General features: G+C 36.1%; 1 protein-coding gene, 1 long non-coding RNA gene and 1 other non-coding gene across 9 annotated transcripts in view, besides 1 other annotated feature; all 3 read left to right on the forward strand.

The window, feature by feature from the left end:
* Nucleotides 1-15,003, forward strand: part of R3HDM1 (R3H domain containing 1) — a 193,786-nt gene that overhangs the window by 129,257 nt on the left and 49,526 nt on the right. For all 7 annotated transcript variants that reach the window (NM_001378107.1, NM_001354200.2, NM_015361.4 and 4 more), the window contains 2 exons: nucleotides 530-653; nucleotides 14,592-14,746. In NM_001378107.1, coding sequence (NP_001365036.1) covers nucleotides 530-653; nucleotides 14,592-14,746 — 279 coding nt within the window. The remainder of the gene's footprint in view (nucleotides 1-529; nucleotides 654-14,591; nucleotides 14,747-15,003) is intronic.
* On the forward strand, nucleotides 659-8,668 carry LOC124907893 (uncharacterized). Its single transcript, XR_007087245.1, has 2 exons — nucleotides 659-5,817; nucleotides 7,021-8,668. It is a non-coding gene; the product is annotated as an uncharacterized LOC124907893 (long non-coding RNA).
* Nucleotides 3,975-4,074: an enhancer, noted in NCBI's record as "active region_16575". NCBI's record gives its function as "activates an Ori minimal core promoter by ATAC-STARR-seq in GM12878 lymphoblastoid cells {active_cell/tissue: GM12878}" and the evidence as "EXISTENCE:reporter gene assay evidence [ECO:0000049][PMID:35858748]".
* On the forward strand, nucleotides 4,657-4,738 carry MIR128-1 (microRNA 128-1). Its single transcript, NR_029672.1, has one exon. It is a non-coding gene; the product is annotated as a microRNA 128-1 (primary transcript).

The raw sequence follows: 15,003 nt of genomic DNA on the forward strand, positions 1-15,003 counted from the left end.
GAGGCTGAGGCAGGAGAATCATTTGAACCTGGGAGGCAGAGGTTGCAGTGAGCCAAGATGGCAGCACTACACTCCAACCTGGGCGACAGAATGAGACTCCACCTCAAAAAAAAAAAAAACCTAAAAATAAATAAAATAATACATGTATGGATAATAGATATATAGTAAATAGATATATACTGTATAGTAAAATCACCAACTACAGAATAATGGCTTCTATGGAAGTTAGAGTAAAGGAAATAGGGTGAGTCTTTAGCTAATTCAGTAGTGTTTGGTTTTGTAAGAGAGAGAGCTGAAGCAAATATGGCAAAAAAATTAAAATCTAAATATGATTGATGACACATTAGTTATATTTTTATGCATACTTTGTTTGAATTTTTTTTAAATTTCAGTTAAATTTAAGAAAAATCAGTTTTCCAATGATTAGTGCTAAAAAGAATTATTACTCATTAAACTCTGATCTTCCTCACAGAAAAACATATGTAATGCAAGTAAAATTGATTTTTTCCCGCAATATTTATGATCCTAGATGCCAGCCTGTTATTGCGCTCCAGGCCACTATCACTCCAGCCAACCTCAGTATCGCCCAGTCCCTTCTGTTCATTACAATTCACATCTAAACCAACCACTGCCACAACCTGCGCAGCAGACAGGTGAGTTGTGTTTCTTATGTCATAACTTCTGAGCCACACTTTTTTCCATCTTCTATTTCAGTGTTGCTCTTAAGATAGTACCTACTCAGTCTCTCAGGATCTCGAATATGTTCATACATATGAGTTTGCAAACCAATGAGATTAAAAGAGTGAGCAAATCTTAGCATCCTCTGGAAAATACCACAGTGTCACGTCTACATGCTAAAGGGTTGGGAGCTGTACTGGGAATATCTTAAGCAGTTTGTTAAGTGGCTGCCATCTCTTACTGCCATTGAGATTGAAACTGTCTTTGCAGCCTGATAAATCACCTATGGTAACAGCAAAAGAGAGGCAAGGCGAGGCAAGGTGACTTATGAATGGCTAACCAGAAGCAAAGATCAAAACCACCTAACTTGGATTGAGAACCCTAGTCTAGGGATGATATTTTGATCTCTTAGTAGGCATGCCTTTAAAAGAAATGATGTACTTAGCATATTTTCTGTGTTTTGCTTTTCAGTTTATTGATTGATAGTGAAAAGTATTTTTAAACCAAATACAATCTAAGGCCACTTAAATGAAATTTATTAAAACTCAGCATTGTTTTTGTTTTAGCACTTTGCAGATTTTCTTCAAGCATTCAGTGAAAACAATTTTGATCTCAGTGTATAAAACTATCTTATTGATTTTTTAATGAACTCATTTCTCTGTATGCTTCTCACCTAGATGTGTACTTCCCAGATGTTTAATAAGGTATTTATTCAGCCTTTTATAACTCTAGGAGTTGAAGTGGAATTTTATCATTGGTTTCTTTAGAGCTTTCTTAACTGCTTATCACTATTGGAGGCTCCCTGACTATGTGAGTGTGACTCACTGAGGAACCCATAACCTCCACCTCCACTGAGGCTGTTTACTGCTCTTGATATTGTGTGAAACTCGTCAGGGTTACCACCAGTTTAGGAGAAGCATCTCTGCACTGGCCCATCTGATGAATAGTAGTCATACTTCTCTTTATTGTTGCAGTCTTCAGTGATCATGATTCACTAACTTTCTGTGCTAGATATAGTTCATGCTTAGCATAGCCATGCAGGATAACTTCCAGGTCCTTAATCTGTTACCCTTAGGAGTTGTCTCGTTGTTAGTTTACAGGTTCTCCCCTTTTTAGTATGTTACTAGCCTTGTATTGTACATGTGACAAATGTTCTTCCAAAGAACATTGAATACAAACATTGGTCATTTTAGCCAAGTTAGAATTTTAGTTCCAAGCTACCTAAAATTTAATAACACAGTCCACGTCAAATAATGTAAACTAGTATATGATATAATTTCAAAAGGTATCAAAAGTTATTCTCTATTCGTGGGAACATTGGTTGTGGTACTGCTCATTAGCTTTATATACACTGGTGTTTTATTCAGAAACAATTTTCTGAATTTTTCTGGACCTCAAGTAATAGAATTTTCATATTGTTTTTTCTTGATTTTTTTCTTCCAAAATTATAACACAGACTGTAGCTGATGCCATAATAAAGAAATGTACCTTCATGCTACTCATTTAAATATCCTTGCGTGTGACTAATTAACTTAATTCATTAGTACACTCTATTAATAAGGCAAGCAAAAATCCTTTGTTCTGTGTTTGTGTTAGCTTACTAATTTTGTTCTTCAACATGGCAAAATTTTTATCCCTGTCCATGGTCAAACTGCCTATAAAATCACTTTCAATCACAGGTTGGGACTAGTGTGCTAGTATATATGCCTCTCTGCCAAAAAAAAAAAAAAAAAAAAATATGACACTTAATAGAATTCAACTAAATATGCCTGATTGGAGGTGAAAACATCTATGTGACAGATAGCATGTGTTTATCATTGGTCATATTTTTAACTATGGGGTTTTCTCTGATGCTAGTTATGATGAGAAGGAGGAAACAATAAATCAGGTTGCATCTGGATAGTGCTACAGGCACAAAAAAGAGAATCATGTCTTTGAAAAATGTTTGACATTGTGTTTGACTCTTATGAGTCAGTCATAATATAACACTTTATAAAAGCTAGACTTGTCCTTTCAGCTGTTTTATATAGTATCCTCTTAACTTACAGCTTAAGTTAGTTGACTCATTCAGTTTGAAGAATAAAAGGAATAAATCCTCAAAGCATTCTTATCTAAAAGAGAAAGGAATTTTGTTATGCTAATAAGTATCATAGAAAATTTTCCTTTAAAGAAAAGTTCAGCAGGGCCAGTGCCAACTGTTGTGTTGGTAATTGTATTGAACCTTTTCATAGAATTAGTGGGGATTTGAACTCTTTTTTAAAAGTTATAATCTAAAGACTTTTTTATAGTTAGCTCATCATTAATTTTTATGTCAAAACTTGCAGAAGGCCAGGCACGGTGGCTCACACCTGTAATCCCACCACTCTGGGAGGCCAAGGCGGGTGGATCACCTGAGGTCAGGAATTTCAGACCAGCCTGGCCAACATTGTGAAACCCTGTGTCTACTTTAAAAATACACAAAAAAAATTAGCCGGGCATGGTGGCGCACACCTGTAATACCAGCTACTCGGGAGGCTGAGGCAGGAGAATCGTTTGAACCTAGGAGGCGGAGGTTCCAGTGAGCTGAGATGGCGCCACTGCACTCCAGCCTGGGCAACAGAGTGAGACTGTCTCAAAAAAAAAAAAAAAAAACTTAACAGAAAAGTGTGCATTTATGTTTGTATGTGCCCTAGTGTAGAAAAGTAAAATGTACTGGGAAATTAACATGATAGTTTATTGTTTTTGAGTTTTTTTACAGGTATATAGCAATTACTGTCTCATAATTTACATTTTTATATGGAAACATACTTCTGGGTTTCCTTTTGGTTTTTATTTTCTTACCTCTCTACATTCTACTATCCCAATCTGATTAAAAATGAGAAATACTTTTTCATATCTCTTATATTTGTATTTCTTGTCAAACAACACTTGCTTACCCCACAGTGTCAAGAAGCATGTTTTTTTTTAATTACATAAAAGGGTGAAACTAATTATTCAACCAAATAATGAAAACACTAGTAGACTTGGAGCAATTTTTTTTCACTGTGGCACAAGTAATGTTTAAAAGTTTGTATTTGAACTTAAAGAAATTTTGCCCTAAATTAACAAGCCCAACTGAGCAAAGTATTTTTAGACCAGATAGGGTATGGGCAGTAGAAATACAGGATCTTTCATTATTTTTCCTTTGGTGGATAGGGAGGAGGATGGGGAAATATCTCAAGGATAAAATGCTCTAGGTCTTTTATCCATGTGTCCCAGTGGACCACAACTGAAATCAGGACTAACATTACTGCTGGGGAAATGAATGTACTAGTCTTTTGTTATGAATGTGAAACTACTGAACTGTTCATTCAAAACAAGGTTGAGTAAACCCCTGTCAACAGAAACAGAAGAAACCCTGGCTACACACATAAGACTTTCTGAACAATGCACTGTATAATGGGAAAGAACAACAAAATAAAAGTCAGAATCCTGATGGCCCTTAGTCATTTGTAACTGGTGTTAGGCATATCACTTAAAGCCACTGAGTTTCAGTTGGACTCATTTGCAAAGTATGGAATTTTTACTGTGTTGTCTGTTGAAGCCTCTGTGTACTGTAAAACTCCATAATTCTTTGTGTCTCATGTGAGTCATTTCTAGTTCTAAAAGGTAGAATAATAGAGAATTGGTTTGTAACAGCTTGGCAACCAACTGTCAATAACTGGAGTCAATGAAAGCAACTATTTCAAAAGATCAGATTACTTACCAGTTTCACTAATAAAGATTTATTACTTTAAACCTTTATCATAAAATGTATGCTTTGAATACTGTGAAGTACACTGCATATAAGGAGTGTGGTATAGTATAAAGAAACTTTCTGCAGGTAGTAATTATAGTGAAGATTTTAGGTTTACAAAGCCCTAGCTGTTTTCTGTGTAGCTTTTATTATTCTTATGACTCTTGACAAGTTTGTAGCTTCACCATATACATTTAATATTTTGCAATAATTGGCCTTGTTCCTGAGCTGTTGGATTCGGGGCCGTAGCACTGTCTGAGAGGTTTACATTTCTCACAGTGAACCGGTCTCTTTTTCAGCTGCTTCCTGGCTTCTTTTTACTCAGGTTTCCACTGCTTTTTTGCTTTTTTTAATGCTGTATGAAGGTGTTAACATTTGTTTATATTTTTCATTAATTGTAATACCTTTAAATCATGCATCATACTCAGAAATAGGGATTAGAATTTAAGTGACATCTTTGGCCTAATATAATTTACCTGTTAAAAATTTGTGAAAGCTATTGCTTATTTCTTTTCCAAAGTAGATTTGGATGACAAATTCAGTTTGGTTTTGAGCTTATCTAAAAAGCTTAATGTTTTAAGCATACCAAACTCATTAGCAGAAGTCAAATATGTCTCTCCCTATTGCTACACAACTTTTTAGGGATATTGTTATATATGAAAGCATGACATCAAACGGACCTAATACACCTAAATGCATTTGAAGCTACTTGGTCTCGGTTCTTACCAACGATATAATTTAATTTTTTTTTCCAAACGATGATGTTGTTGCATACCTGTGGAAAGCAAAATGATTCTGTGAAACTATACTTTTAGTTTTGCAACCATTTGATAACTTCAAAGATTATCAATGTATTATATCTTTAGTCTTAGCTTTCCAGATAACCCAGAATCATATGGTTCCAAGTTGATTAAGCTTTGTTACCAGCAGACTATGGTAGGATCCTGATGAACGACACTATGGAAGAAACTTGTTAGGATAAACAGTCTTCAATGTGTGCATATTGTTGACAGAATTTGAAGGCACAAATTTAAGAGTAACTAGGGTGTAAAAGGCGAGCAAAGAAAAGTCAGCACTACTGGGTAAGCAGGTGAGGGGGCTTATTGATAGGAGAGTCGGCTATGTCAAATAGGGACTCAAGGCACAAAGTCAATTTCTTTACTGACAACTTTCAATCCAAGTAATAGGAATTTTGTATTTGTAAATTACTAGGTAGTGGCTCTGGCTATTCTTGTTTTTTCATTGATTTCTGTGAGCATTTCTTAGTATGTATTGTGTGATTCAGCATAGATTCAGACATTGTATAATACCTACAAATCCACCTATTTCCCTTTTCCCTTCTCCATTAACCTGCCGCCACTGAAATCTGGAGCCAAATATATCTGGTAAGTACCCACAGATTTCCTTGAGTTGTATAGACTCTTCCATGGAATAGTTCTTTAAATAGCTGTGAGCAATAAACTCTGTGTGACTGTTTTTGTTAGAATTGGTTTTTGTATATGTATATGTTTATTTCAGGCACAGGAGTGAGAGAAGAGGGGATGAGAGATGAGAAGGGATAATCAAGTGTGATGGCAATTGCATCTCCTTCCAAATACACCCATGGGGCTGGCTTTAGTTGAACTTGCCCACCTACTAAAATAGTGCCACAGACAGAAGCCCAAGATTATAAGCTTGAGGTTTTAACAATTTGGTCTTGTAGATGCCTAGTTACAAATAAATTTGGCTTTAGTAAAATGGCTCATCTTTAAAAAAAAAAAAAAAGAAAACTACCTTCACAGTGCTTCTATTGTACAAGCACAGTCTGGAAAAAAAATTAATAGGTACTATTAAGTGAAATAACCTTAGATTCATGGGTATTCTAAGCATTTCTTTAATACTTTTTGTAATTTTTCTGATTATTTCTGTGTTATTAAGAATGCTTTCCTTTAGAACAAATGCTAGTTCAGATCACCTATATAAAATAAAATCAGCCTGTTAATGCCTGTTCAATACTTTTGTGCTGAGCACTGCATTTCCTTCCTGCTCTCTTCTTGGTTAAAGTGAGAGTTAAAAATAGAACATTCTGTGGAGCCCTCCAGGGAAGTTCCTGAACCATCAGTTTATATTGTCCTAGTTCTCTTAGCTTGCAGAATTGATTGTGCTTTCCTCTGAAAGTGCTGAAAGAAATGGGATAATATTGCAACAGTGCAGTCCTTTAACAAAACAGAATGGTAGTGTTTTAAAAAAAAAAATCTATGTTGAGATCTGGATATTTATTTTGTTGTTTGGTATCACTTACTATTGGCATTTCTTACTTTACAAAATAGAGGCTTTCCCACAATATTGACGTAAATTCCTATAAAAGATATAGTGTTTTCCTCTACTTTCCAGATTAAATTCAGATGTATCACAGGAAGAATTTTTTTTAATTCTAATATACTAAAATATACTTTTTAGTGAAGAAAGAATAATTTATGTGGTAGCCAAGTTGGAGTCGGGATACTGGAAATACTCTTCTTGTAGCATTTTTGAAACCTGTTGATACTTTTCATTCTCTAGAAATCTACTTCTCCTTCCTAATCCTCAGCCTTCTCCCTCTTTTCCAGATCATTGGATTTTTCTTTCTCAAACTTGGCAGTCTTCAAACTATACTTTTGACACTATGAGAACTCTGTACCCACTCTTGCTTTTGTCTGAATAATTAGACAAGGAACCTAACCTACAATGCCACTTCTCTAGGTGTCACTCTGTAACGGTTCATGCCCAGCAGTCTGAAATTTCTTTGTTTAAACAAAAGTTCAGAGGAATTCATGAGCAACTTGAACAGTTCAAGATGTAAATTTTATTAAGCAAATGTACATAATGTGAGGCATACCTGTAATTAAATGATCCTTTATTTTATGTTAACAATTATTTTATTAATGATTTTGTCTTACATAGGCAAGAGTAAGGTTCTTATCTTTGATTGGATTAGGAGAATGATGTGGGCTTTTTTGTTTTTAGTGCTTTCCAGCTGAGTATTTCTAGTTTTGCTTGTGATTATAGTAATTTTAACCAACATAGATCCCAGTTTTATTTTCTTTTTCATTGGAACAAATGTTAGCCTGTTAATGCCTGTTGAGTACTTTTCTGCTAAGCACTGCATTAGAAAAAGACCAATAATCTTTTAGTAATCTTTAATGTTCTGCTCTTTAGAGAATATAATTCAAAATTATATACTTTTTAGCCAGTTGCTGTGTTGTATGTTATAATTATTAGAATGAGTGATAAAACATTTCATCATGATTTCTGGAAAAAACATTCATATTCCTGTCCTAATGCCAGTCGAATTTCCCTTCTGGGGTACCGATCATTCTGAGCATCAAATGTTAAATGACAATTTTAGTTGTGTTAGTTTAGAACAGTTCTTCAGACCCTGATGGCTTTCTACCCAGTGTAGTTTAAACCTGGTGAATTTTCCTGCCTTGGATGTAAAAATGAATGAAATGCTACTCAGTGGATGGAAAAAAGTCATTGCTTCACAGAACTTCAAGACTTCGCCCATAAAACGTAGCAGCTCTCCTTGCACAAAATGTGTCCAGGTTAAAGCTGGCACTGCCCTGCTGAGTAAAGTCTGACTTCTTGGCAAAGCAGCCTGACTTTGTGGAGAAGACAGCCAGTATCTATGAAAACTCTGCTAGACTAATCTTGTATAGACTCATCTGGAATGTGGCAACAGACTTTTTGAGCAAAAGCAGCCTCCGAGGCAAAACAGCAAAACTAAAGCCCAAAGGGAACATTGGAGATTCACTTGGAAATACTCAGGCTGAGAGACAGAACTGTGGGATGTGGAACCTGAAATAGTGTCACTATTTGAGCCAGTTCTTCTCCTTCCCAATTGTCTTTTGTTATGTTTTAATATTTTTAGAGATGGAGTCTCACTGTTTTGCCTAGACTGGAGTGCAGTGGCCCTTCCTAATTGTTTAATACAATTTATGCGTATAATCTAATTATAGTAAGGCAAGGAAGTGTAACTTTGAAATACATCAGTAGTAAACCACGCATCTTGCGGGTAGTGGACAAACCAAGGGAAGGACTGTTCCTCCCACAGAGAGGACATTGTGGGCTAATCATATGCTTATTTACACCTGCTCTTTTTTAAAGCCCCCAAGTTCATGTGGCTACCATCTGAACTAACTACCCAAAAATTTTCACTCTGATTCCTATTTTGAATAACATGCTTATACTCACCAATAAATCTTTAGTTCAAATGAACGAAAAGTTTCCTTGTTGATTGACATTATTTCCAGTAATTATCTGTTTTCCTGTAATTAAGTTTATCTTGAGACTTAGGTATGTTAAGCTACAGTAAAGTCTTCATTAACCAAAATTATCAGAAAATGAAGCAAGGCCAGGTTCTGCTTATTTGAACAATATTACTGTAATACTTTTTCTTCTTCAACATGTGTTCCTCAAAAAAGTAAATTTTAGAATCAGACAGCTGTGTGCAGCTCTCAGCTACACATTTGATAGCTGTTGATCATAGAGAAGGTATGAACCTCTCTGTGCCTTTTGTTTCCTCAGCTGAAAAACAGGGATAATAATTGTATCTATTTCATAAGATTGTGAACACTAAATGAGTTAACATATGTAAAGTACTCAGAACAGTGCCTGAAACTTAATAAATATCATTTGAGGCTTAGGTATTAAGATTAGCTTGTGTGACTGGGCGCAGTGGCTCACCCCTGTAATCCCAGCACTTCGGGAGACTGAGGTGGTCCAATCACCTGGTGTCAGGAGTTCAAGACCAGCCTGGCCAACATGGTGAAACCCCATCTCTATTAAATATACAAATATTAGCTGGGTATGCTGGCACGCACCTGTAATCCCAGCTCCTTGGGCAAGAGAAGCACTTGAACCCAGGGGGTTGAGGTGGCCATAAGCCGAGATTGCACCGCTGCACTCCAGCCTGGGCGACAGAGCAGACAGAGCAAGACTCAGTCTCAAAAAAAAAAAAAAAAAAAACCAACAAAAAAGATTAGCTTGTGGTATCATTGAAGCAAAGATAATTATATTTTAAATGAAAATTTAAATTTAAAATGAAAATATAATTTTAAATTATATTTTAAGTGAAAAGACAGGGATTTGGGGCCAAATTCTAGAGCAGACACAGGAAGCTGACAGAGTTTGCTCTAAAATGTTTATATTTTTTGTCCTTTTAGCTACTCAACACATGCCTTCATCCTGAAAGTACAGTAAAGATCAGTTGAGTTGTTTGATGTTAAACTTGAGGTCTAAATATGTTTTGAAGAAAATTACTTAAATACTTTCTTCCCATACATTGTACAATTTCTATTGATAAGATGTGGAAGCATTATATGAAAAAAGATTTTGAAATAGTCTGTGTCATATAACCCCATTTCTATAAATAATGAAAATGAATATATATGTTGCCCTCTGCATGGAAAATTAGGCTAGCCACATATAAAAATGTAAATGGGGAGTATCTATAAGTGATTATTTTCCCATATAGACTTTTTCTATGTTTGTATTTTTTTCCAAATTTTCTACTATAAAAGTCTTTTTTATGCTCTATAAGGTTTTTATAAAAGATATTAAGTCTACATTTTTAAAAATATTCAGGCCAGGTGCCGTGGCACACCCCTATAATCTCAGCACTTTGGGAGGCCAACAGGGGCGGTTCACTCTGAGCTCAGGAGTTCAAGACCAGCCTGGGCAACATGGCGAAACCCTGAATCTACTAAAAATACAAAAATTAGCTAGGTGAGGTGGCGCGCACCTGCAATTCCAGTTACTCAGGAGGCTAAAACAGGAGAGTCGTTTGACCCAGGAGGCAGAGTTTGCAGTGAGGTGAGATTGCGCCACTGCATTCTGTCCTGGGCGATAGGGTAGGACTCTGTCTCAAAAAATAATAGTAAGTAAATAAATTAAAAGTAAAAATATTCAAATAATACCTTCATTACAAACTTTACATACTAGATATAAAGTTAAACAGTTTGTATTCTTTCTTTGAGTTCTTCCTAAGCACTTTGAGGCTAACTATATGGAATCTGTGATTTAGCTGCTGTACAGTTTTCTAGGAGAGACTTAATGAGTGATCTAGAAATTCCAGTCTGATGTGATTTGTATTCGTGGGAGTGTCATTTTAATGAAAAGGTGATTAAATGTGTTTAATCTTGTAAACCAGTGTTACGTTAAAATTTATTTTTTTAATTTTAATTTTAATTTTTTTAAGATGGAGTTTCGCTCTTGTCGCCCAGGCTGGAGTGCAATGGCGCGATCTCAGCTCACTGCAACCTCTGCCTCCTAGGTTCAAGTGATTCTCCTGCCTCAGCCTCCCAAGTAGCTGGGATTACAGGTATGCGCCACCACGCCTGGCTAATTTTGTATTTGTAGTGGAGATGGGGTTTCACTATGTTGGTCAGGCTGGTCTTGAACTCCTGACGTCAGGTGATCTACCCACCTCGGCCTCCCAAAGTGCTGGGATTACAGGTGTGAACCACCGCGCTGGCCCAATGTTACCTAAAAATTTAAATTCAGGTTGGGCGCCATGGCTCATGCCTATAATCGCAGCACTTTAGGAGGCCGAGGCGGGCAGATCACCTGAAGTCAGGAGTTTGAGACCAGCCTGGCCAACATGGTGAAACCCTGTCTATACTAAAAATACAAAAATTAGCCAGGCATGGTGGCACACGCCTGTAATTCCAGCTACTCGGCAGGCTGAGGTATGAGAATTACTTAAACCCAGGAGGTGGAGGTTGCGGTGAGCCAAGATGGTGCCACTGCACTCCAACCTGGCCGATAGAGTGAGACTCTGTCTCAAAAAAAAAAAAGGCATACGCAAACCATGAGAGAACAACTAACCAGAAATGTTTATGTTACCTGTAGAGTTTTATGAGATGTGGCATAAGAGAATGGACAAAATCGTAAAGGGATTAATAATTAAGATAGATTCTTAGCGAAGGCATTTTTTTAAGTGCTTGGCATCATTATTTTTAATAGCTCCACTGTGTTCAAAAACTCAATCCTAGCTTATTTATGCTACTTCTGAATGAAGTCCTAAGATATTAGTGTTTTTTCTCCTTTCACAGTCTTTAAAATCTAGAACTTCCTGGTAGTTCTTATCACTCTTCTATGTGTAAAACCTTTGCTTCTTCACCAGTATTCTGTTGTACCTTCATCTTCCACTTATCACTTCACATACCATATTCATTCATTCATGACTATTCCCCATTAAAACATATTAACTGTCTTACTTTTTCCAAACCTTTTATTTTTGCTGGAATGAGCTTTTCCTTTAAGTCCAAGCCCAAATGTCACTACCTTTATAAATATCAGTCAGGACTAATTTCTTCCTCTTTTTTTCATAAGACTCTATTTATACTGCTATCCTCATACGGTATGGTGGCTAAAACTGCCTAATTTCAAAGATAGGGACCATGTCATATCTATCTTTATCTAACCCAGATGGTGTCCTTTTTACTACTATTTGTAACAAATGACTAGATGCTGAGATCAACTGTTTTATATTTCATGTCAAATTTTCAAAATGTACGTGGTGTTTGTAAGAGAGTGCGTGTGTTTGTGTGTGTGCTTGTGTGTGTGTGTGTGGCAATTAGTGGGCATGGATATTAATGGAGATTAGGCTGCTTTAAAGAATAAGATACCAGGCCAGCCACGGTAGCTCTCGCCTGTAATCCCAGCACTTTGGGAGGCTGAGGTGGGCGGATCACCTGAAGTCTGGAGTTCAGGACCAGCCTGTCCAACATGGTGAAACCCCCATCTCTACTAAAAATACAAAAATTAGCCAGACATGGCAGTGCGCGCCTGTAGCCCCAGCTACTGGGGAGGCTGAGGCAAGAGAATCGCTTGAACCCAGTAGGTGGTGGTTGCAGTGAGCCAAGATTGCACCACTGCACTCCAGCCTGAGCGATAGAGACTGCATCTGAAAACAAACAAACAAAAAGAATAAGATACCATTGGAAATTTACTCATGCAGCTTTCATGATGTAACCAGGCATGGTGGTGCACACCCGTAGTCCTAGCTCCTCAGGAGGCTAAGGTGGGGAGGATTCATTGAGATGAGGAGCTCGAGGGTACAGTGAAACAAAAATTCTGCCAAGTCTGTCATAAGAAGTTATTATTCCAGTCTATACAGAACCCAAATTCTGATGCTGCAATAGACGTGTATGTGTTGAGGTGGCATTTCCAACACAAAAAAAGGTCTCATGTTCACATTTCATTTCCATTCCTGTGTTATTTTTTAAGGGTGGAAATTTGTCATTGTATGTTTTAATGGTGTTTGGAATTTGGGGTATAAATTTGAAATACTTGTCATTTGATGAACTGAAAATAGTGTTAAATGTTAATTGTTAGATTAAAAAGGAAGAAGTTTATTCTGTTCTCTGCCTTTACCTGCCTGTAAGTTTAAGTAGTATAGGAAATTCACAAGGAATAAAGGTTTAGAAAACAGCATATTATCAATCACTTTATTACAGATGAGAACTAGAATACACAGTATTCTGTTTTTACAAAGTTAGACTGGTGAGAAGGAAGTCATTGGAAACATGGCCATAAAGTAGTTTTGCCATAGAAATAACATCATTTTACAAAAACCCTTCACTGTTAAGGGATTCACTATAACTGAATTTTTACTTTGGTTTTGGTTTTTTTCTGTGTTTTTGGTTTTTTGTTTGGTTGGTTGGTTGGTTTTGTTTGTTTGTTTTTTGAGACAAGGGTCTTGCGCTGTCGCTTAGGCTGGAGTGCAGTGGCACTATCTTGTATTTTTTTGTGGAGACAAGATTTGGCCATGTTGCCCAGGCTGGTCTCAAACTCCTGAGCTTACCCACTTCCATCCACCCAATCCATCCATCTCCCAAAGTGCTGGGATCATAGGTGTAAGCCACCACACCTGGCCAAGATTTTTAGTTTCTTAATTTTAATGTGTTGCTTTGTTACTGGATATACCTTGTGGTTATATTTTTAAAGAAGATAGATGCTAGATTTTATTCAATTATTTAGTCCCTGAGCAGAATTATTAAGGCTACCAGACAACTACAGTGATGCTGCTGTCTATAATCAATACTTGAAATTGCCATGTCTGTTGCTTTAGGAATTAGTGAGGATATAAATGAAAACTGATAACAAAATGTATTTATGGTATTATCAGGGAAACAATTTCATTGCCCTTTAGCTGTTAAAGTCTGTATAGGTGGTATTCTAGTTCAGTTCATCTTTGTAAAAACTTTTCAGTACTCTGAAGCTAGATGATTATTTTTATCTAGTTCTTTAAAAAATAAAAAACTTTGTGGGTAGCATCTAGTAATTTACATGAGTCTTTAGCTAATTAGTATACCTAAAAGAATCCTCTTAGGATCAGGAGACAAAATACAATTCGTATTCTCTACTTAGAGCTTATCATTGTAGATTCTTGTTAAGTAAATAAGTTTACTTGATAAAAGTAAATTTGTGCACTTAACTTACCACTTAAATTACCAACATTCAGTTTAGGTGTTTGCTTTGTGACCTTGAGCAGATTACTTGAGTTGTTTAATGATTTGTCAAGTGACCTTAATCATACAATGAAGAAATAATCTAAAAAATTACAGTATAACTCCATTTGCCTGTGTCTTTGACACATTCAAAAGTGGCTCTCTCCCCTGCCTTTTTTTTTTAATCCCCAGCAGGGACAGTTTCATGGGAATGGAACCTCTGCAGATGCATAGAGCCCCATGCTTGTGTTAATATTCTGTTGTTACCAACTTGAAATTCTTAATAGTTGTTGTTTTTTTTTTTTTTTAACAAAGGGCCCTACATATTTTCCATTTACTCTGGGCTCATGTTATGTAGCAACTCCTGGTCCTGAGAAACTAGTTATCATAATCGATTGTAATATGCCCTGAATAGTAATTGTCCTATGTTATCTAAGTGTGTGACCCTATAATCTTTGCAATTGTAGAAGAAATCTTTGTAGGCAGATTTTATTTCAATATATTTTAGTGAGGGAATGTAGGTAACTTGGGCTAAAATGTTATTTCATAATAGATGGTTTTAGGGGCTTACCATTTAATCAAAATTTTATCATTTTAGAGCATAAAAGTACTCGCTTAAATTTTTTTTTAAATCTTACTAGATGAAATGAATTCAGAGCAGGATTTAACTCATTGTACCATTACAGGTTATCAAGTTATACCCAACCAGCAGCAAAACTACCAAGGAATAGTTGGAGTTCAGCAACCCCAGAGTCAGAGCCTAGTCAGTGGCCAACCCAACAGCATTGGAAATCAGATTCAAGGAGTGGTCATCCCCTATACTTCAGTGCCAACATATCAGGTATATTGTCTCTTTTATGTACTTTGGGTAGAGATGATTTCGAATAAATTAAGTGCACAACTACAATACATCTTCTATGCTCTCCTTTTAATACAGGAAAAACATTTCTGTAATATACAACCTTTTAATACAGGAAAAACACTTCTGTAATATACAACTTTATAGTCAAGAGTTTTATTAGTCGTAGAAGCTTGGTTTTATCCTCATTTTATTGCATTATTCATTTATTAATGTTTAGGATCTGAAACACATTGATA

The sequence above is a fragment of the Homo sapiens genome, chromosome 2 (assembly GCF_000001405.40).
Source record: "Homo sapiens chromosome 2, GRCh38.p14 Primary Assembly".
Taxonomy (NCBI): domain Eukaryota; kingdom Metazoa; phylum Chordata; class Mammalia; order Primates; family Hominidae; genus Homo; species Homo sapiens.